Consider the following 21,400-nt stretch of genomic DNA (forward strand, 5'->3'; position numbering starts at 1 on the left):
AACGAAACGATGCCCCCTCCTCCTCCCCTCCTATCCCCTCCATGGAAAAGCACTCGTGCCTGGGGCACACAATGATGATAAAATCACGGCTAAACCCTTCACGGTGCGCCTCCTATGTGCCAGGCACTGTTAAGCCCCTTCACTCATTGAAACGTCGGTGCAGCTCCCTGAGGGAGGGGCCGTGCCCCTCCCTGGATTTAAGGATCAGGAGAGGTTAATTAACTTTCCTGAGGCAAATGGGATCCAATCTCAGCCTTCTTGGTGCTTCTCAGGTTAAAGATGAAAAAACACTGGAGGGAAGTAAACTGAATGGGCCTGGGGGTCACACCGCAAGGGGGCGCAGCTTCTGTTTGGGTAACTTCGGGACGATTTTTTATTTATTTATTTTTTTTGAGACGGAGTCTTGCTCTGTAATGGCGAAATCCTGCAACTTCCGCCTCCCGGGTTAAAGCGATTCTCTTGCCTCAGCCTACCGAGTAGCTGGGATTACAGGTGTCTGCCACCACGCCCGGCTAATTTTTGTATTTTTTAGTAGAGACGGGGTTTTGCCATGTTGGCCACGCTGATCTCGAACTCTTGACCTCAGGTGATCCACCCGCCTTGGCCTCCCAAAGTTTTAGCCTCCGTAAAGTGTGGAAGAGAGAAGAGAGAGAGAGAGAGAGAGAGAGAGAGAGAGAGAGAGAGAGAGAGAGAGAGAGAAAGAAAATGCATTTCAGAGGAGAAACGGAAAGCAGGGTGGAGGAAGAGATTAGGTGGGAACAGAACAGACAAAACAGACGCCAGGAGGAGCTGAAGGACGTTATCCACCGGCCACATTCATACCTCACTGTGCAATTTGCAATACAAAGGACACCATGGGAATCCAGCTCCTGACATGCACCTGGGGCGCTGGGAAAGACAATGACTGTGAGGGAGGGATAATTAAGGACAGAGTGAGGGGACGGGTGGGCACGGAGGCCGACACCTGTCATCTCAGCACTTTGGGAGGCCAGGCAGGAGGATCGCTTGAGGCCAGGAGTCTGAAGCTGCAGTGAGTCATGATCGCGCCACTGCCCTCCAGCCTGTGCGACAGAGCGAGATCCTGCATCTAAAAAAATAACAAAAAACCTCACTGTCAACAGAGTAAAGAGGCAAGTCACAGAATAGGAGAAAACATTTGGAAATCACACATTTTTTAAGGGATTGATAATCAGAATATACCCACTCCTAAAACTCAACAGTAAAAAAAACAAAAAACCCTGATTTAAAAATGGGCAAAGGACTTGAACTGACAGTGCTCCGAGAAGATATATAAATGGTGAATAAACACTCAACAGTCTGGCCAGGCACGGTGGCTCAAGCCTGTAATCCCAGCACTCTGGGAGGCTGAGGCGGGCAGATCACTTGAGGCCAGGAGTTTGAGACCAGCTTGGCCAACAGGGTGAAAACCCGTCTCTACTAAAAATACAAAAATTAGCCAGGCACGGTGGCGGGCACCTGTAATCCCAGCTACTTGGAGGGCTGAGGTGGGAGAATCGCTTGAACCTGGGAGGCGGAGGTTGCAGTGAGACGAGACTGCACCACTGCACTCCTGCCTAGGTGACAGAGCAAGACTCTGTCCCCCTCCCCACCCCCAACCCCTGGCAAAAACAAACAAACAAACAACAACATCAACAACAAAAACACACACAAAAAAAGACAGACCATGCCAAGTTTTGGTGAGGATATGGAGTAACTGAAAATGTAAACTGGTAAAACCGATTTGGAAATCTGTTCAGCGTTATCTATAAAATTTGAACAAATGGCTTCTCTGTGACCCCAAAATTCTACTTCTAGTATTGTACTAACAGAAATGCATACATGGCTGGGTGCGGTGGCTCACGCCTGTAATCCCAACACTTTGGGAGGCTGAGGAGAGTGGATTGCTTGAGTCCAGGAGTTTGAGACCAACCTGAGCGACATAGGGAGAGCTTATCTCAAAAAAAAGAGAGAGAGAGAGAAAGGGAGGGAGGGAAGGAAGGAAGGAAGGACACACCTGTGTAATCACTACCCAGAGTGAGAAACAGAATATTCCCAGCAACACCAAGCTGTATGAGCCGTGACTGCACCACTACACTTGGTTTGTGAAGTTTCCTCAACCAATGTTTTACTTCAGTGCCCCTATAGGTGGGCCAGAAAGGAGACATTTTCCAGAGAAAACCTGAGGCCCAGAGCAGTAGAGGAAAAAGCGGCTATTTTCTATGAATTTGGGAAAAAGAAACTCCATTCCCAAGACAAAGGGAATGTGGTCTAGAGAGATCAGAGAAAGGAACCAATTTTCTAAAAACAGGATAGACCTTATTTTATTTTATTACTTTTTTTTTTTTAGATGGAGTCTCATTCTGTTACCAAGGCTGGAGTGCAGTGGCACGATCAGGACTCACTACAACCTCTGCCTCCTGGGTTCAAGTGATTCCCCTCCCTCAGCCACCCAAGTAGCTGGGACTACAGGTGCACGTCACCACGTGTAGCTAATTTTTGTATTTTTAGCGCAGACAGGATTTCGCCTTGTTGGCCAGGCTGGTCTCAAACTCCTGACCTCAAGCGATCCGCCCACCTTGGCCTCCCAAAGTGCTGGGATTACAGGCATGAGCCACTGCGCCTGGCCTATTTTACTTATATTTTGCATCGTTAAAAACCCTGCACCGTGGGGAATTCACAGTGCATGCCATGAAAATTGTCCCCAGCCCCATGGCGGCCCTTCCATGGGGCTACCATTCTCAGCAGCTTCCTGTGTGTCACCCTTCATGCCTGCTGTGCATTTGGGAGCAAAACTGCCTATGTCTTGTTTTCCAATTTCTACACTTTCATATTATGTTTATTTTTATTTTTATTTTTTTGAGACAGAGTCTCGCTCTGTCACCCAGGCTGGAGGGCAATGGCGTGGTCTCGGCTCACTGCAACCTCTGCCTCTCGGGTTCAAGAGATCCTCCTGCCTCAGCCTCCTGAGTAGTTGGGATTACAGGCGTGTGCCACCACACCCGGCTAATTTTTGTATTTTTAGTAGAGACGGGGTTTCGCCATGTTGGCCAGGCTGGTCTCAAACTCCTGACCTCAGGTGATCTGCCCTCCTCGGCCTCCCAAAGTGCTGGTATCACAGGCGTGAGCCACTGCACCCGGCTCAGTTTCTACACTTTCTTATCTCTTTACTTTGTTCCTCAAGCATGGTTCAAGAAACTTCTGTGCTTTCTATTTTTATTTTTTTAATTTTTTGAGACAGGTTCTTGCTGAGTTGCCCTGGCTGGAGTGCAGTGATGCCACCACAGCTTACTGCAGCCTTGACCTCCCACACTCAAATGGTCCTCCCACCTCAGCCTCCCGAGTAGCTGGGACTATAGGCATGCACCACCACGCCCGGCTAATTTTTGTGTTTCTGGTAGAGATGGGGTCTCACTTTGTTGCCCAGGCTGGTCTCAAACTCCTGGGCTCAAGCGATCCCCACAACCCCCTGCCTCAGCCTCCCAAAGTGCTGGGATTACAGGTGTGAGGCATTGCGCCTGGCCTCCCTTTCTTTCTTTTCCTTCTTTTCTTTCTCTTCTCTTTTCTTCTCTTTCTTTCTCTCTCTGTTTCTTTCTTTTACTTTCTTTCTCTCTCTCCCTTCCTTCCTTCCTTCCATCCTTCCTTTCTCTCTCCCTCTCTTTCTTTCTTTCTTTTTTTAAATAGAGTCTCATTCTGTCACTTAGGCTGGAATGCAATGGCACGATCTCAGCTCACTGCCACCTCCGCCTCCCACGTTCAAGTGATTCTCCTGCCTCAGCCTCCCGAGTAGCTGAGATTACAGGCACCTGCTACCCACGCCAGACTAATTTTTGTATTTTTAGTAGAGATGGGGTTTCACCATGTTGGCCGGGCTGGTCTCAAACTCCTGACCTTGTGATCTGCCTGCCTTGGCCTCCCAAAGTGTTGGGATTACAGGCGTTAGCTACCGTGCCTGTCTTCCTATTTTTTTTTCTTCTCCCCGCTGCGCCCCCCCGCGACGCCCGGCTTCCCAAGCTCATGATGTCTTCCTACTTCTGCACCTCTCTCTTATTTTGTTTTCTGGGAATAACATTTGAGCTCCTCCAAGGTCTGATGCCATCCGGCCCTGGCTCAAGTCTCCATCCTTCCTGCCCTGGCTTGCCGCCCTCTTCCTGTCCCTAAACAAGGCAAGCTCTGAGACAGAGGCCAGGTGTGGGGCTGAGGTGGATAGAGAGGCTTGCCGCTGAGCTGACCATAGCCACTCTCAAAGTGTGGTTCCTGCTGCTTCTCAGTGGCGTCAGCATCACCTGCTAATCAGAAACTGAAATTCTAGGGGTGAGACCCAGGGATCTGGGTTTTAAGGAGCTCTTCAGGGGATTCTAATGCCAACTAGACCTTGAAAATTGCTGGCTTATGGCTGGGCGCAGTGGCTCATTCCTGTAACCCCAGCACTTTGGGAGGCTGAGGTGGGCAGATCACCTGAGGTCAGGAGTTTGAGACCAGCTTGGCCAATGTGGTGAAATCCTATCTCTACTAAAAATACAAAAATTTGCCAGGCATGGTGGTGGCCGCCTGTAATCCCAGGTACTCGGGAGGCTAAGGCAGGAGAATGGCTTGAACTCAGGAGGCGGAAGTTGCAGTGAGCTGAGATTGCGCCACTGCACTCCAGCCTGGGCAAGAGAGGGAGACTCTGTCTCAAAAAACCAAGAAACAGAAAACAAAAAATTAAAAAAGAAGATTGCTGGCTTAAACTTGGTGCATTGGTGGGGGCTGGGGAGGAGGCTGGTTTTCAAGGTAATAACGTTTGATCAGTATCTCTTGCAGGGAGGAGGTGAGGTGAGGCAGGGCCACTAGTGACATTGCCCTGGGGACAAACTTGCAGGGACTGGGGAGGATTCTCCAAACCAGGGGAGCCAGGGGAGGGATTAGGGAGAGTTCTCTGTTCCAGGTCCCCTCCTGAGCAGATGTCATGATAAGAGATGCCTGAATCCACCCAGGCCCATTGTATAGGTGGGGAAACTGATCCTGGAGGGAGGAAGGCTTTTGCCCAAGGTCAGACAGCTGATAATGATGAGGACCTCCAGGGCTTCCCAGCTGCTCTGAGACACTGTGCCCAGAATGTTCAGTACAAGGGAGTTGGTGAAATATCAGAAAGAGAAAAGCAGCCCCCAATGGCCAGGGGCTGGCCTTGCACTCACAGCCAGGCCTCCATGCTCTCTCTTTGGATAGAAGGGACTTCAGGCCGGGTGTGGTGGCTCATGCCTGTAATCCCAGTACGTTGGGAGGCTGAGGCGTGCGGATCACCTGAGGCTGGGAGTTCGAGACCAGCCTGGCCAACATGGCGAAACCCCATCTCTACTAAAAATACAAAAATTAGCCGGGCGTGGTGGCGGGTGCGTGTAATCCCAGCTACTCGGGAGGCTGAGGCAGGAGAATCGCTTGAACCCAGGAGACAGAGGTTGCAGTGAGCCAAGATCGCACCACTGGACTCCAGCCTGGGTGACAAGAGTGAAACTCCATCTCAATAAATAAATAAATAAGTAAACAGATAAACATTATTAAAAAGAGAGGATTTCATAAAACACAATGCATGGTGCAAGAACTGGATTTAAACAAAGAAACAAGGACAAACGGACAAGGTTATTCTTTGTGTTGCCCTGAGCTCTCTGTAATCATGTCTGAACCCAGAGAGTTCAAACCACAAAAACATGTTGTTCAAACCACAAAAGAGATCCGTGTCCTCCTATTCTGTCGAATACAAGTGACACTGTTTCTAGACAAAAACCCTAGTTCTGGGCACTCCTCATCCTCCTCACTTTCAAGGTAAGAGAATCAGAGTGACCCTCTTTTCCTGACAGCATCGAACCCAGAGCAAAACCACTTTTCTTATTTGTTAAAACTGCAGTAAAATAGGCATAACATACAATTTACCATCCTAACCTTTATTTATTTACTTTTATGTTTTTAGAGACAGGATCTCGCTCTGTCGCCCAGGCTGGAGTGCAGTGGTGCTACCTTGGCTCACTGCAACCTCTACCTCCCGGGCTCAAGTGATCCTTCTGCCTCAGCCTCCCGAGTAGCTGGGATTACAGGTGCCCGCCACCACGCCTGGCTAATTTTTGTATTTTTAGTAGAGACGGAGTTTCACCATGTTGCCCAGGTTGGTCTGGAACTCCTGGGCAAGCAATCCACTCGCCTCAGCTTCCCAAAGTGCTGGGATTACAGGCGTGAGCCAGGGCACCCGGCCCCAAACTGAAACTTTGTACCTATCAAATATTGAACTCCTCATTCTCCCCATCCCCAGCCCTTGGGAACCTCTAACTTATTTTCTGTCTCTATGAATTTGTCTATGTTAGATATTTCTTGGGAGTGGACTCATACAATATTTGTCCTGGCTTATTTCATTTAGCATAAATACTCTCTAGGTTCATGGAGGTTGTAGCCTGTGCCAGAACTTCTTTCTTAAGGCTGAAGAATATTCCATTGCATGGATAGACCACATTTTGTTCATTCATTTGATAGACATTTGGGTTGTTTCAGCCTTTTGGCTATTGTAAAAGATGCTGCTATGAACATTAGTGCACAAATATTTGTTCACTTCCCTGATTTAAATTCTTTTTTTTTTCCTGTTTTTAAACATTTTTTTTAGTTTGCATTCTTTTAGGTATAAAAGTCACTCTGTTTTGAATCCTTTCCAAAATTATCAAACAAGCTCAAATCCTATAACATTTGCCATTAAAAGCAAGGGCAGCCGGGCGCGGTGGCTCATGCCTGTAATCCCAGCACCTTGGGAGGCCAAGGTGGGCGGATCACTTGAGGTCAGGAGTTTGAAACCAGCCTAGTCAATATGGCAAAACCCCATCTCTACTAAAAATACAAAAATTAGCTTGGTGTGGTGGTGGGCGCCTGTAATCCCAGCTACTCGGGAGGCTGAGGTAGGAGAATCGCTTGAATCCGGGAGGCAGAGGCTGCAATGAGCCAAGATCGCGCCGGCAACAGAGCCAGACACCGTCTCAAAAAAAAAAAAAAAAAAAAAAAGCAAGGGCAAAAGCCACAATTCCTTTCACATCAATCTAAAACATCCTTTCAAACACCCTCTTACTGAGAGGCCCCAAAGGTTCCCTTTGTGTTCCTCCTTCTTGCAACAAGACAATAAACCCAACTTTGCTTGACTACTGGTGTCCCTCTGATGGTCTTCAGCTGATCAACATTGACAGGTTTCACCAAGTCAGTCTTAAAAACCAACCACCTGGGCATGGTGGTTCACACTTACAATCCCAGCAATTTGGGAGGTTGAGGCAGGAGGATCGCCTGAGCCTGGGAGCTGGAGATCAGGCTGGGCAACAGAGCAAAACCCTGTCTCTACAAAAAATAAAAGAAATTAGCCGGGCATGGTGGTGGGTGCCTGTAGTCCCAGCAACTTGGGAGGCTGAGGTGGGAGGATTGCTTGAGCCCATGAGGTCAAGGCTGCAGTGACCTTGACCTGTTGCCACTGTACTCCAGTCTGGGCAACAGAGCAGGACCCTGTCTCAAAACCAAAAATACAAAACAAAAACAAAAACAAACAACAACCTATGCTCCAAAACCATTTCTGGGGAAATAATCAGATTCCCTACCCGTTCACCTACGAAGCCCAGCTAGAGTCTCTCGTCTTAATCTTTGCCAATCGAATACACAAAGTTTTTTTTTTTTTTTTTTCACAGAGTCTCGAATTGTCGCCTGGGCTGGAGTGCAATGCTGTGATCTCCACTCACTGCAAGCTCTGCCTCCTGGGTTCAAGCAACTCTCCTGCCTCTGCCTCCCAAGTAGCTGGGGTTACAGGCGCCCGCCACCACGCCCAGCTAATTTTTTTGTATTTTTTTGTAGAGATGGGGTTTCACTATGTTGGCCAGGCTGGTCTCAAACTCCTGACCTCTTGATCCGCCCGCCTCAGCCTCCCAAAGTGCTGGGATTACAATCACGAGCCACCACGCCTGGCCTCAAATATGCAAAGTTTTACATTTAATTTATTTTAGAAATTATAGAGAGGGGGACCATCTACTCACATCTTATAGACCAAGAAAACTGTGAGATCATTCCTGTTGACAGCAGGGCCATCATCTGCTTTGGTGAATAATGTGTTCCCAGCCACCTAAAAGCCGAACAAAATGTGCAATTATGGTAAAATGTTTCCAGAAAGGAAGCAGAATATAGATACAATGATGGAAGAATGCCACAGTGAGATACTAAGCAACCTTTTAAGAGCGTGCAGGGAACTTGTAAACATACCATCTATTTGTTTTATAATTTATTTATTTATCTATTTCCAAGACAGGGTCTCTACTCTGTCGCCCAGGCTGGAGTGCAGTGGTTTGATCATGGCTCACTGCAGCCTCGAATTCCTGGGCTCAAGCGATCCACCCCCCTCAGCAGCCCAAGTAGCTGGGACTACAGGTGCATACCACCACACCTGGCTAGTTTTTTGTTTTTTTTTAAAATATATTTTGTAGCGATAAGGTCTCGCTATGTTGCCCAGGCTGGTCTCGAACTCCTGGCCTCAAGTGATCTTCCCCCCTTGACTCCCAAAGCCCTGGGATTACATGCATGAGCCACCATGCCCAGCCACTATTTGTTTTGTTTCAGTTTATATTTATTTATTTATTTATTTTGAGACAGAGTTTCACTATTGTTACCCAGGCTGGGGTGCAATGGCACGATCTTGGCTCATCACAACCTCCACCTCCTGGGTTCAAGCAATTCTCCTGCCTCAGCCTCCCGAGTAGCTGGGATTACAGGCATGTGCCACCATGCCCAGCTAATTTTGTATATTTAGTAGAGATGGGGTTTGTCTATGTTGGTCAGGCTGGTCTCGAACTCCCTACCTCAGGTGATCCACCCACCTCGGCCTTCCAAAGTGCTGGGATTACAAGCGTGAGCCACTGCGCCCGGCAGAACTTTCTTATATTTAAATGTCTATCTTCACAAAATAGTACCAGTGAGCTTGTTCATCTGCTTATGTCTTTATTGGCCAAATAAATAGCCACGGTGCAAAATCTCTGTGGTCACTACTGTGTTCCCAGCATGTCCTGTAGATGAAGCCGGACAATGTGTGCAATGAGGAATCATTGCTGGGGATGCTGCTTTCTACAATAGAACTCTAAGTAGCAGGTGAAAACAATGAGCGAGGCCCGTGGTAACAATGTCTACGTTTTATTGAATTTTGAAATTGGTTGCATGAGTCATTTCTTTTTCTTTTTTTTTGGGAGGGGGCCGGAGTCTCCCTCTGTCACCCAGGCTGCACTGCAACCTCTGCCTCTCAGGTTCAAGTGATTCTCTTGTCTCAACCTCCCAAGTAGCTGGGATTACAGGTGCCTGCCACCAGGCCCGGCTATTCTTTTTGTAGTTTTAGTAGAGACGGCGTTCTGCCATGTTAGCCAGGCTGGTCTCAAACTCCTGACCTCAGGCGATCTGCCCGCCTCGGCCTCCCAAAGTGCTAGGATTACAGGCGTGAGTCACCGCGCCCAGCCTTGCATGAGTCATTTTTAGCTCCCTGGATCATGAGCCTTGTCAATCTCCTTGACCCCTGAACCCATGTGGGTCCTGCTATGAGGAGATGAGGGCAGCCAGGGGTCTGACACAGCAGATGCATCTCTGAGGGACCTGACTTGTGTGAACCAAGGTAATGGGTCCCCTGCATACATCAGTAGCAGTCCATGGAAATGTCCATCAGACCTGTGTCCCCTCCTGGTTGGGGGAGCAGGAAACTTCAAGAATGACTAGTAGGGGCCAGAGTGGCCTCAAAGGACCAAAGAGGAGGCTGTGGGGTCATCCAGGAGAGAGGGATGGTGACTGGACAAGGCGGGCAGCCCGGGAGCCGGGAGGAGTGGGTAGACTCGCTGGCATTGATCATGTGGGGCCCCAGCCCTGGGAAGGAATAAGGATGACTCCTGGGGGCTGGCTGGCGGTGCCTCTCCTGAGATGGGGACCCCAACCACAGGTCATGATGTTGACTCCCCCGATCCCATGTGGAATACCACCTCGCCTGGGCTAGGGCCCATGAGGGTGAAACCAAGGCTGTGTTGTCCACTGAGGTTCCCCAGCTCCTAGCACAGCTCAGCAGGCAGTACCTGATCAGTGATGAGGGATTAATCCACCATTCAACTCCTCCAGGGGGCGGGACTGCAGGGCAGGGTGGGAAACGGAGGGTCCTGGCAGGGTGGGCCAGGGTGGGCACAGCAGAGAAGTGATTTAAGAGCCAAGCCCTTGTCAGTACACACTTGTGTTTGGGAACAGATCAGGACTCAGGATGCAAGACCCTGGTCATCTCCAAGGTGAGCAGGGACAGAGGTGTGAGGGGCCTGGGCTGATCCTGTGGCTGAGGCTGCAGAGTGCAAATCTGGGCAGCCAGAGAAGGGCTGGGCCTGTGCGGGCGGCTTCCTGTCCTGCAGACGGGGGAGAACTTAGTGGTGTCTGGGAAATGAAAAATCATGCAGCTGGGCGCAGAGTCTCACGCCTGTGATCCCAGCTCTTTGGGAAGCCAAGGTGGGAGGATCACTTGAGCCCGGGACTCTGAAACCAGCCGAGCCAACATAGTGGAGACCCGTCTTTAGCAAAAATACAAAAATTACCCAGGGGTCGTGGTGCACACCTGTGGTCCCAGCTACTCGGGAGACTAAGGCGGGGGGTTCCTTGAGCCCAGGAAGTGGAGGCTGACTTGAGCCGTGATCACATCACTGCACTCCAGCCTGGGTGACAGAGCGAGATCCCCTCCAAGAAAAAGAAAGAAGGAAAGAAATTAAACCATGCAGTTGAGTGGAGCAGAGGACTGGGCAGGTGGCGGCTCCCCTGCAAGTGTCAGGGTCCCTATAACCCTTGGATGGGAGGGGACGGGGCAGCTGGGGAGGGCTGAGCAGGCCTGAGGCAGCCCCGTCTGCTCCGAGGTGAGGCGCCTACGCTGCCTGCCTTCCCAGGAGCTGTTATCGCGCCCATTTCCTAGATGTGGACCCTGAGGCCCAGAGAGGTGCAAGGTCTGGTCTGGATACCAGGCTGCTATCCGCGGTGCCGCCCCAGCCCACACTGCCTGGGCTCCTGGCCTGGCGCAGGGGACGGGGTCCCTAGGGGGGCTGGGGGCTGCCTGGGGGTTTCTGTGACCTGTTTCCCTCCCACCCCCAGGCCCTCCCCTGGCCCTGGACCCTCCAAGGAGACAGCGGCAGGAGCGCACGGTCTACACTGAAAGCCAGCAGAAAGTGCTAGAATTTTACTTTCAGAAGGACCAGTACCCGAACTACGACCAGCGACTGAATCTGGCGGAGATGCTCAGCCTCAGGGAGCAACAGCTGCAGGTCTGACCCCCACCCCCACCCCGCCCGCCCCAGTCACCCCAAGGAGCCTCCCCACCGCTGTCACTCACCGGGGCCTGGCCCGCCCGACCACCTCCCGCCCTGCCACGCAAGGGGTCCCGCCAGTGTAGACCCGGGCTGCATCCTGAGTCCTGTTCCAACTCTATGCTAGCCCAAACTCGCCCACATGATCGGCCCAGGCTGTCCCCCACGGGGTCTCCCGGTGCCCGGACCTCAGGCACCCGTGAGAACCCGCGGTCCCTCCCCTGGAACCCTCCCTGGCCCCCCGGGCACCTGGGCGGCAGACCCGGCTCCTCCCCTCCCACCCCACCCTCCTCCCCCTACTTTCCCCTCCCTCTTCCCTCCCTTCTCCAGGCCTGGGAGCCGGGGGCCCTCATATGGTGGGTGCGGGGTGGGGGTGAACACCGGGAGAGTTTTGAGGCCGGCGCCGCCCCCGAGCGGCTCACCCGGGCCGCGCGAGTCCCTCCTTCACACCTTCTCCCTGTCCCCTCTGCCCCCCAGGTGTGGTTCAAGAATCGCCGCGCCAAACTAGCTCGGGAGCGGCGGCTCCAGCAGCAGCCCCAGCGCGTCCCTGGGCAGAGAGGCCGAGGAGCCCGCGCTGCGCCCCTAGTCCCTGTAGCCGCTGCCTCCTTCCCTGGGGGTCCTGAGTTCCCGCAGGGCAGGGGTTCCTGGATCTCCCCTCAGCCGGGCCCCTGGGGAGTCCTCCCAGCAGCAGAACCGAAGATCTACAGCCTCCCCCGGACCTGGGGTGGCCCTGAGTGTGGAACACAGGAGGGCCTCAAGGCTGTCCCGGCTCCAGGCCCTGGCCCAATCCCAGCCCCTATCCCAGGCCCAGCCCAGATCCCAGGCCCAGTCCCAGGCCCAGCCCCGAATTTAGGCCCAATGTCAGGCCCACTGTCAGTCTCGATCCCCGGTCCAATACCAGCCCCCATCTCTTGCCCAGGCCCAATCCCAGACCCAGTCCTAGGCCGAACCCTGATGCCAGGCCCAGGATCACTCCCAACCCCAGCCCCAGGCGCCTTGTGGCCTCAGAGCCCCTATGCCTCCAACTTGTCGCCAGACACCCAGTTATACCCTGACTTCACCAAGCTGCTCCCGCTCCTAGACCGGTTCGAGGAATCCTCACTCTCCACCACGACGTCTCAGTACAAAGAGGAGGATGGCTTCGTGGACAAAAATCACTCAGTCCCCAGGTCATTACTGGATTTATAGGGGGCCTGTGCCTGCAAAGTTCTTCAGATCCCAGAGGGCCTGGAGTGGCTGATCTACACTGCTGGTGACTTTCTGCAGTGAATGCATCACCCTTTACCCACCCTGCTGCAGGTGGACATTTGCTGTCTTCACTGTGCAGCCATCACAGGTGGCTCTGCTGTGAATGTGCCTGCCTGTCATTTGAATTGAGCCTGAGCGTTTCTCTGCTGAGACTGGAGTCGCTGCTCACTGGGATGTTTGGCATTAGTGGATGCCGCTTGAGAGCTTTGTTAAGGGCTTTTCCCAGCCCTCCTTCTGGTCAATGTCCTCCCCAACACTGAGGCTTGTGAGACTTTTTAATGTTTGTCGATCCAGTGACTTGTGGTTTTGTTGTGGTTGTAATATCCATTTCCCTGATGATTGAGAGATTGAGAAATTCTCATATGGGTATTAGGCATTTTCAAATAGTGACTATTTTTCGTTTTTTTTTTTGAATATTTTCTCATTTTTATTAAATAGTGACTATTCATGGTCTTTTTGGCCCATTTTTTGTAGTTGATTTCTTTACAAATGTTTATAATTTTTTTTTTTTGAGTCAAAGCCTTGCTCTGCCACCCAGGCTATCGTGCAGTGGCACGATCTTGGCTCACTGCGGCCTCTGCTTCCTGGGTTCAAGTGATTCTCTAGAGTCTCAGCCTCCTGAGTAGCTGGGACTACAGGTGCCCACCACCGTGCCTGGCTAATTGTTGTATTTTTAGTAGAGATGGGGTTTCATCATGTTGGCCAGGCTGGTCTTGAACTCCTGACCTCAAAGTGTTCCGCCTGCCTCAGCCTCCCAAAGTGCTGGGATTACAGGTGTGAGCCACTGTACCCGGCCACGATGTTTTAAAATAAAACTCCATTGGGAGTTAATATTCTGCGAGGATCTCCTATTATGTGGTTCGTCTTCTTGCTTTTGTTAAGTAGATCACTGTGCATAGCATTCAAAACATTCATCAGCAGATTCATTCTTCAGTAGAAGAAAAAACTCAATTTAAAAATCAGACTTGATGGACAAAAACTGTTATAAAAGTTTATTTTTTTTTTGAGACAGGGTCTCACTCTGTCATCCATGCTGGAGTGCAGTGGTGCCATCTTGGCTCACTGCAACCTCCGCCTCCCACGTTCAAGTGATTCTCCTACTTCAGCCTCCTGACTTGCTGGAACTACAGGTGTGGGCCACCACACCTGGCTAATTTTTGTATTTTTTGTAGAGACAAGGTTTCTCCATGTTGCCCAGACTTGAGCTTTCAAGTTTCTTCAAGAAAATTGTTGGAATTTTAATTGGAATGACATGAAATTTAGAAGTGTTTTTGGGAGAAATTGAAATTTTTACAAAGTCTAGTCGACCTAGTACTTATTTATATTCATTCAATCGGTGTTTTACAAAGGTTCTTCATGAAATGTTGTTATTGTTATTATTATTATTATTTTTCTGACAGAGTCTCGCTCTGTCGCCCAGGCTGGAGTGCAGTGGTGCAATCTTGGCTCACTGCAACCTCTACCTCCTGGGTTCAAGTGATTATCTTGCCCCGGCCTCCTGAGTAGCTGGGCTTACTGGGATTACAGTAGCACACCACCACGCCCGGCTAATTTTTGTATTTTTAGTAGAGATGGGGTTTCACCATGTTGGCCAGGCTGGTCTTGAACTCCTGACCTCAGGTGATCCACCCCCGTCGGCCTCCCAAAGTGCTGAGATTACAGGCGCGAGCCACCGTGCCTGGCTGAAATGTTATTATTTAATCACAGAGCTCTTGCATGCATCTTTCTGTAGATTTATTTCTTGCACTTCATTTTTATTATTGTCTGATATTTTACATGGTATTTTAAATTTCTTATTTTAAAAAAATGTTTGTCTTGCACATAGAATTCAGTTGATCTGTTTATTTTGTTTCCAGGAACCTAGTTCAATTCTTTTGAATTCTCATAACTTAGCTGGACATTGTAAATTTAAAAATGAATAAAACTTCATGGTTACTTTGTGGACATTGATTGCTGCTAAGCCGACGAGTGCCTCTCCTCAGCACTCCACACCCCTCTCCGCGTCTCGCTTCCTCTGCCGCCCCCTAGTGGCCATCCTGGCCCTGGGTCTCCCCACAGCGGGTTCTCTGACCCTGCCTGTCCTGGTCCCGTTTAGCAAATGCTCTAATCCTCTTAGGCCAGGCCAGCCTCAGCAAAGCAGAGAGAGAATTAGATCAGATGTTGGGGGAAGGGAGGACGGCTGTGCGTGTGTGCGGGGGACAGACTTCCAGGATGTAATGAAAGCTCCTCCTTATCTAGCCGACCCTGGTAGTAAAATACACACAAAAACACCGGAACTTCACACCAGTCAGACTCTGACAGTGTGGGAAGAGTAGGGAGGAATCTAATCCATCTATTGTAGGCGAGGGAGCCCCTGTGGACATTCTGGGGGCATGGGGGAGAGGTGGTCCAGTCTGACTGTAGATTCAGAATCACATCCTGGGCCTAGGGGAGGGACGGTGGTGCTCCAGGGCCCTGCAGGCATATCAATGAATGGAAAATGGATTAGTTTATTAATGAAGATGGAATTTGCATGTGCCCTGATTAGCTGAATAGAAAGTGAATGGATTAAGTAGAACAGAATTCCTCTCTTTTTCATCTCCTCAATTCTTCTTTTTTTTGGATACAGGATTTCACTCTGTCACCCAGGCTGGAGTTCAGTGACGCGATGTCAGCTCACTGCAACCTCTGCCTCCCCGGTTCAAGCGATTCTCCTGCCCCAGCCTCCCGAGGAGCTGGGATTACAGGTGCCCGCCACCACGCCCGGCTAATTTTTATATTTTTAGTAGAGATGGGGTTTCACTATGTTTGCCAGGCTGGTCTGGAACTCCTGACCTCAGGTGATCCACCTACCTCGGCCTCCCAAAGTGCTGGGATTACAAGCATGAGTCACCAGGCCGGGCCACGGATTAGTTTGTTAATGAATGAAGATGGAGTTTGCACATGCCCTGATTAGCTGAACAGAAAGTGAATGGATTAAGTAGAACAGAATTCCTCTCTTTTTAATCTCCTCAATTCTTCTTGTTTTTGGAGACAGGGTCTCGCTCTGTTGCCCAGGCTGGACTGCAGTGATGCAATCTCGGCTCACTGCAACCTCCACCTCCCAGGTTCAGGCTATTTTCCTGCCTTACCCTCCCTAGTAGCTGGGATTATAGGGGCTAGCCACCACGCCCAGCTAATTTTTGTATTTTTAGTAGAGATGGGGTTTTACCATGTTGGCCAGGCTGGTCTTGAACTCCTGACCTCAGATGATCCACCCACCTCAGCCTCCCAAAGTGTTGGGATTACAGGCATGAGCCACTGCTCCTGGCCTCAATTCTTTTTTTTTTTTTTTTTTTTGGAGACAGGGTTTTGCTCTGTCACCCAGGCTGGAGTGCAGTGGTGTGATCTCGGTTCACTGCAACCTCCGCCTCCCAGTTTCAAGCAATTCTCCCACCTCAGCCTCCTGAGTAGCTGGGACTACAGGTGCATGCCACTGTGCCTGGCTATTTTTTTTTTTTTTTTTTTGATAAAGACAGGGTTTCTCCATGTTGCTGAAGCTGGTCTCGAACTCCTGAGCTCAGGCAATCCTCCAGCCCATGTCTCCCAAAGTGCTGGGACCACAGGCAGGAGCCACTGCCCCCGGCTATATCTTCTCCATTCAATTTCCCTCCTTTTTCACCCAAGCAAGCAGCCCCCTTCACTCCCTTTGGAAACCGAAAATTCCAAGGGAATTTTACCATCTCCTAGGAAGCTCTCCCGCCTCTCCTCATCATCCCAGGCTGTGTTCTGGGCATCCCCAAGGGAAGCATCTGGACTTCTCACTGGACCAAGGAAGAGGGGACGAGGTGACGTTCAGAAGGCGGGCCTTCGAAATTCCCCATGTCTGTCTTGGCAAGAGCAAGAATTTCTCTTGTTTTCCTGCCTGTAGCCAAAAAGCATAACAAGAAAGGATTCAGGGTACGTATGAGAACAGTTCATTGTACCTTCGACAAATGGGTCAAGTTCAAGCTAATACTGCCCTGCATGCTCCGGGATGGAGATGGAGGCAGTGCAGGTAGAAATGTCATTGTCTTGTAAGGATCAGAGAGAGGGGGAAAAGGGCCAATTTTTTTTTTTTTTGTAGAGGGAGTCTCACTCTGTCTCCCAGGCTGGAGTGCAGTGGCTCGATCTTGGCTCACTGCAACCTCTGCCTCCCGGATTCAAGCGATTCCCCTGCATCAGCCTCCTGAGTAGCTGGGACTACAGGCGCCTGCCACCACCAAACCCAGCTAATTTTTTTATTTTTATTTTTATTTTTTGAGATGGAGTCTCGCTCTGTCACCCAGGCTGGAGTGAAGTGGCGTAATCTCGGCTCACTGCAACCTCCACCTCCCGGGTTCACGCCATTCTCCTGTCTCAGCCTCCCTAGTAGCTGGGACTACAGGCGCCCGCCACCACGCCCGCTAATTTTTTGTATTTTTAGTAGAGACGGGGTTTCACCGTGTTAGCCAGGATGGTCACGATCTCCTGACCTTGTGATCCACCCGCCTCAGCCTCCCAAAGTGCTGGGATTACAGGCATAAGCCACCAAGCCTGGCATTTTTGTATATTTTGTAGAGACAGGGTTTCACCATGTTTTCCAGGCTGGTTTTGAACTCCTGATCTCATGTGATCCTCCTGCCTCAGCCTCTCAAAGTGCTGGGATTACAAAGTGTGTGAGCCACTGTGCCAGGCCAGAACCTCTTGCTTTAACACCCTGCTTCATCCTAGGTCTCTGGATCTAGTTTCTGATTTTCTTTTTTTTTTTTCGAGATGGAGTTTTGCTCTTTTTGCCCAGGCTGGAGTGCAATGGCACGGTCTAGGCTCACTGCAGCCTCCACCTCCTGGGTTGAAGTGATTCTCCTGCCTCAGCCTCCCGAGTAGCTTGGATTACAGGCGCCTGCCACCACGCCCAGCTCATTTTTTTTTTTTGTAATTTTAGTAGAGCAGGGTTTCACCATGTTGGCCAGACTGGTCTCGAACTCCTGACCTCACCTGACCTCAGGTGATTTGCCCGCCTCGGCCTCCCAAAGTAGTGGGATTACAGGCGTGAGCCACCGCACCTGGCCTGATTTTTTTCTTTTTTTCTTTTTTTGAGATGGGGTCTCACTCTGTCACCCAGGCTGGTGTACAGTGGTGTGATCATAGCTCACTGCAACCCTGAACTCTTAGGCTCAAGCAGTCTTCTCATCCCAGCCTCCCTAGTGGCTGTGCCTACAGCCATGTGCCACCAAGCCAGGCTAATTTTTAATTTTTTTCCTGTAGAGATGGGGTCTTGCTATGTTGCCTGGGTTGGTCTCGAACTCCTGGGCTCAAGCTATCCTCCCATCTAGCTTCCTAAAGCATTGGGATTACAGGTTTGAGCCACAGCACCTGGCCTGCCCCATCTCTTAAAAAAAAAAAAAAATAGTGAGGTTGGTGGGGTGGGGCACCAGTATGTTTTAAAGCTCTGAGGCAATTCCAGTGTGCAAAGCTTGAGTACTGCTGTTCTCAGTCAAATCCCTGCCATGGAGTAGACAGACTCCTGGGAGTTGATGCCTAACTGTCATTATTAAGAAGACACCAAAGCCAGCTGTGGTGGCTCATGCCTGGCATCCCAGCACTTTGGGAGGCCGAGGTGGGTGGATCACCTAAGTTCAGGAGTTTGAGACCAGCCTGGCCAACATGATGAAACCCCCTCTCTACTAAAAATAAAAAAATTAGCAGAGCATGATGGCGGGTGCCTGTAATCCCAGCTACTCAGGAGGCTGAGGCATGAGAATCGCTTGAACTGGGGAGGTGGAGGCTGCAGTGAGCCAAGATTGCGCCACTGCGCTCCAGCCTGGGTGACAGAGCGAGACTGTCTCAAAAACAAACAAACAAACAAACAAAACTATTTTAGTAAAAGAAAACTCAAAATTGCCTTATCTGATTGTCCCTTTCACAGAAATCCACCTAGATAAAATCAAATGCCATAAAGAGAAAGATGTGAATGGTCATTATTTTATTTATTATTTATTTATTTATTTTTGAGATGGAGTTTTGCTGTTGTTGCCCAGGCTGGAGTGCAGTGGCTTGATCTTGGCTCACCGCAACCTCCACCTCCCGGTTCAAGTGATTCTCCTGCCTCCGCCTCTCGAGTAGCTGAGATTACAGGCATGAGCCACCATGCCCAGCTAATTTTTGTATTTTCAGTAGAGACGGGGTTTCTCCATGTTGGTCAGGCTGGTCTCCAACTCCCGACCTCAGGTTATCTGCCTGCCTCGGCTCCCAAAGTGCTGGGATTACAGGCATGAGCCACTGTGCCCAGCCTGCGAATGGTCATTATTTTTATACCAAATAAATATAGTAGCCACCAGTAAATTCATTAGTTAAAAAGGGTTTTCAGCTGGGCATGGTGGTTCACGCCTGCAATCCCAGCACTTTGGGAGGCCTAGGTGGGTGGATTACGAGGTCGGGAGATCAAGACCATCCTGGCTAACACGGTGAAACCCCGTCTCTACTAAAAATGCAAAAAATTAGCCAGGCATGGTGGCGGGCGCCTGTAGTCCCAGCTACTTGGGAGGCTGAAGGAGGAGAATGGCGTGAACCCGGGAGGTGGAGGTTGCAGTGAGCCGAGATTGTGCCACTTCACTCCAGCCTGGGTGACAGAAATTCTGTCTTAAAAAAAAAAAAGGGTTTTCAAGGCCAGGTAAGGAGGTGGCTCACGCTTTCTAATCTCGGGAAGCCGAGGTGGAAGGATGGACTGAACCCAGAAGTTCGAGACTGGCCTGGGCAACATAGTAAGACCCCGTCTCTACAAAAAATTAAAAATTTGGCCAGGTGTGGTGGCACTACCTGTGGTCTCAGCTACTTGGAAGGCTGAGGCAGGAGGGAGGATCACTTGAGCCTGGGAGGTGGAAGCTGCAGTGAGCTGTGGTGGTAGCACTGCACTCCAGACTGGATGACACAGCAAGACCCCGTCTCAAAAAAAATTTTTTTCCAGACTCCCATTTTAACAGACTGTTTCTGCCGGGTGCAGTGGCTCACGCCTGTATTCACAACACTTTCGGAGGCCGAGGAGGGTGGATCACTTAAGGTCAGGGGTTTGAGACCAGCCTGGCCAACATGGTGAAAACCCGTCTCTACTAAAAATACAAAAATTAGCCTGGCATGGTGGCTGGCGCCTGTAGTCCCAGTTACTCAGGAGGCTGAGGCAGGAGGATCGCTTGAATCCGGGAGGCAGAGGTTGCAATGAGCTGAGATCGTGCCACTGCACTCCAGCTTGTACGACAGAGCAAGACTCCATCTCAAGAATATCCCCCAAAAACAACAAAAAACCTCAGACTGCTTCCCTGAAATTCTTCTAAAGAAAATGCCTGACAGGAAATAACTTAAGGATATTGTGGGTTTTTATTGTTGCTACTTCGAGATGCAGTTGTATCTCTAGAGACACAGTGGGGTCAGATCAGAGATGGGGTTCATTCAGGGGCACCCCCAGAACTGGGAGAGTCCTCGGCTTCCACATACCCGTTATGGTGCTCCGTGGCCACCAGGGGGCAACAATACGTCACTGTTCCAGCCCAGGGAGCGGCCAACCAGAGCTTGGACCTGGGGTGTCCCAGGAGCCACCTAGACCGGCTGGTTCCTTCCATACAAAAGACCTCCAGGTGGGATGGGGGAGAGACACCCCACATTCGAGTGGGAGAAAAACATGGAAAAGACACAGAGGCAACATTATATTTCTTTCCACTTGTGTAATTTAAGCTAAAGCCAAACAGCTAGAAAATATACTTTTTTTTTTTTTTTTTTTGGAGACAGTCTTGCTCTGTTGCTCAGGCTGGAGTGCAGTGATAGGATCATAACTCACTGCAAGCTCCGCCTCCCGGGTTCAAGCCATTCTCCTGCCTCAGCCTCCCAAGTAGCTGGGACTACAGGCACCCGCCACCACGCCTGGCTAATTTTTGTATTTTTAGTAGAGACAGGGTTTCACCATGTTGGCCAGGCTGGTCTCAAACTCCTGAGCTCAAGTGATCCACCTACCTTGGCCTCTCAAAGTGCTGGGATCATAGGCGTGAGCCACCTTACCCGGCCTTCTTGTTGTGGTTTTAATTTATATTTCTCTAGAGGCAAATGATGCAAAACATCGTTTCATGTGCTGATTTGCCATCCCTGTGTCCTCTTTGGTGAAATGTTTGTTCAAATCTTTTATTCTTTTTTTTCTTTTAAAAGATTATTTGTTTAATGCTGGGTTTTAGGAGTTCTTTATGTATTCTAGAAACAAGTCCATTGCCAGATATGAGATTTACAAGTACTTCCTCTCCATCTCTGGTTTGTCTTCTTGTTTTCTCATTTTGTTTTGAGATGGAGTCTCACTTTGTTGCCCAGGCTGGAATGTAGTGGCACAATCTCGGCTCACTGCAACCTCCGCCAACACATCTGGCTAATTTTTCTATTTTTAGTAGAGACAGGGTTTTACCATGTTGGCCAGACTTGTCTTGAACTCCTGAGCTCAAGTGATCCACCTGCCTCGGCCTCCGAAAGTGCTGGGATTACAGGCATGAGCCACCGCACCTGGCCTATCTTTTCATTCTCTTTATAGGTTCTTTGGTTCTTTTGCGGAACAAGACTTTAGTTTTTTTATTTTTTATTTTTGAGATGGAGTCTCCCTCTGTTGCCCAGGCTGGAGTGCAATGGTATGATCTCAGCTCACTGCAACCTCCATCTCCTAGGTTCAAGCAATTCTCATGCCTCAGCCTCCCGAGTAGCTGGGATTACAGACATGTGCCATCATGCCCAGCTAATTTTTGTATTTTTAGTAGAGACAGAGTTTCACTATGTTGGCCAGGCTGGTCTCAAACTCCTGACCTCAAGTG

General features: G+C 50.1%; 1 protein-coding gene and 1 long non-coding RNA gene across 5 annotated transcripts, besides 4 other annotated features; one reads left to right on the plus strand and one right to left on the minus strand.

Annotated features, from left to right (window-relative positions):
• Positions 112–914: an enhancer, noted in NCBI's record as "OCT4-NANOG-H3K27ac hESC enhancer chr19:48352354-48353156 (GRCh37/hg19 assembly coordinates)". NCBI's record gives its function as "activates a minimal SCP1, AML or CMV promoter by ChIP-STARR-seq in naive and primed H9 embryonic stem cells {active_cell/tissue: H9 hESC(naive and primed)}" and the evidence as "EXISTENCE:reporter gene assay evidence [ECO:0000049][PMID:30033119]".
• Positions 915–1,718: an enhancer, noted in NCBI's record as "OCT4-NANOG-H3K27ac hESC enhancer chr19:48353157-48353960 (GRCh37/hg19 assembly coordinates)". NCBI's record gives its function as "activates a minimal SCP1, AML or CMV promoter by ChIP-STARR-seq in naive and primed H9 embryonic stem cells {active_cell/tissue: H9 hESC(naive and primed)}" and the evidence as "EXISTENCE:reporter gene assay evidence [ECO:0000049][PMID:30033119]".
• On the plus strand, positions 10,250–12,736 carry TPRX2 (tetrapeptide repeat homeobox 2). 3 transcript variants are annotated; one of them, NM_001397347.2, is made up of 3 exons: positions 10,250–10,286; positions 11,128–11,297; positions 11,817–12,736. In NM_001397347.2, exons 1-3 carry the CDS (start codon positions 10,262–10,264, stop codon positions 12,525–12,527), a joined length of 906 nt encoding a protein of 301 aa, NP_001384276.1. In that variant the 5' UTR covers positions 10,250–10,261; the 3' UTR covers positions 12,528–12,736. The 3 variants fall into 3 exon arrangements, with proteins under 3 accessions (NP_001384276.1, NP_001384278.1, NP_001384277.1); NM_001397349.2 differs by having other exon boundaries at positions 12,421–12,736; NM_001397348.2 differs by having other exon boundaries at positions 11,223–11,297.
• A 1,568-nt stretch (positions 12,737–14,304) lies between these two features.
• LINC01595 (long intergenic non-protein coding RNA 1595) lies at positions 14,305–20,376 on the minus strand. 2 transcript variants are annotated; one of them, XR_936006.3, is made up of 4 exons: positions 20,055–20,376; positions 16,286–16,470; positions 15,420–15,522; positions 14,305–15,041 (listed from the first exon to the last, which is right to left on the minus strand). It is a non-coding gene; the product is annotated as a long intergenic non-protein coding RNA 1595 (long non-coding RNA). The 2 variants fall into 2 exon arrangements; XR_936005.3 differs by lacking the exon at positions 15,420–15,522.
• Positions 14,691–15,192: an enhancer, noted in NCBI's record as "H3K4me1 hESC enhancer chr19:48366933-48367434 (GRCh37/hg19 assembly coordinates)". NCBI's record gives its function as "activates a minimal SCP1, AML or CMV promoter by ChIP-STARR-seq in primed H9 embryonic stem cells {active_cell/tissue: H9 hESC(primed)}" and the evidence as "EXISTENCE:reporter gene assay evidence [ECO:0000049][PMID:30033119]".
• Positions 15,193–15,692: an enhancer, noted in NCBI's record as "H3K4me1 hESC enhancer chr19:48367435-48367934 (GRCh37/hg19 assembly coordinates)". NCBI's record gives its function as "activates a minimal SCP1, AML or CMV promoter by ChIP-STARR-seq in primed H9 embryonic stem cells {active_cell/tissue: H9 hESC(primed)}" and the evidence as "EXISTENCE:reporter gene assay evidence [ECO:0000049][PMID:30033119]".

This window comes from Homo sapiens, chromosome 19, assembly GCF_000001405.40.
Source record: "Homo sapiens chromosome 19, GRCh38.p14 Primary Assembly".
NCBI classification, from domain to species: domain Eukaryota; kingdom Metazoa; phylum Chordata; class Mammalia; order Primates; family Hominidae; genus Homo; species Homo sapiens.

Coding starts and splice junctions, on each gene's coding strand:
- TPRX2 (NM_001397347.2), top strand. CDS start 10,262: ATGCAAGACCCTGGTCATCTCCAAG. Junction 10,287..11,127: donor AGACCCTGGTCATCTCCAAG/GTGAGCAGGGAC, acceptor TCCCACCCCCAG/GCCCTCCCCTGGCCCTGGAC. Junction 11,298..11,816: donor TCAGGGAGCAACAGCTGCAG/GTCTGACCCCCA, acceptor TCTGCCCCCCAG/GTGTGGTTCAAGAATCGCCG.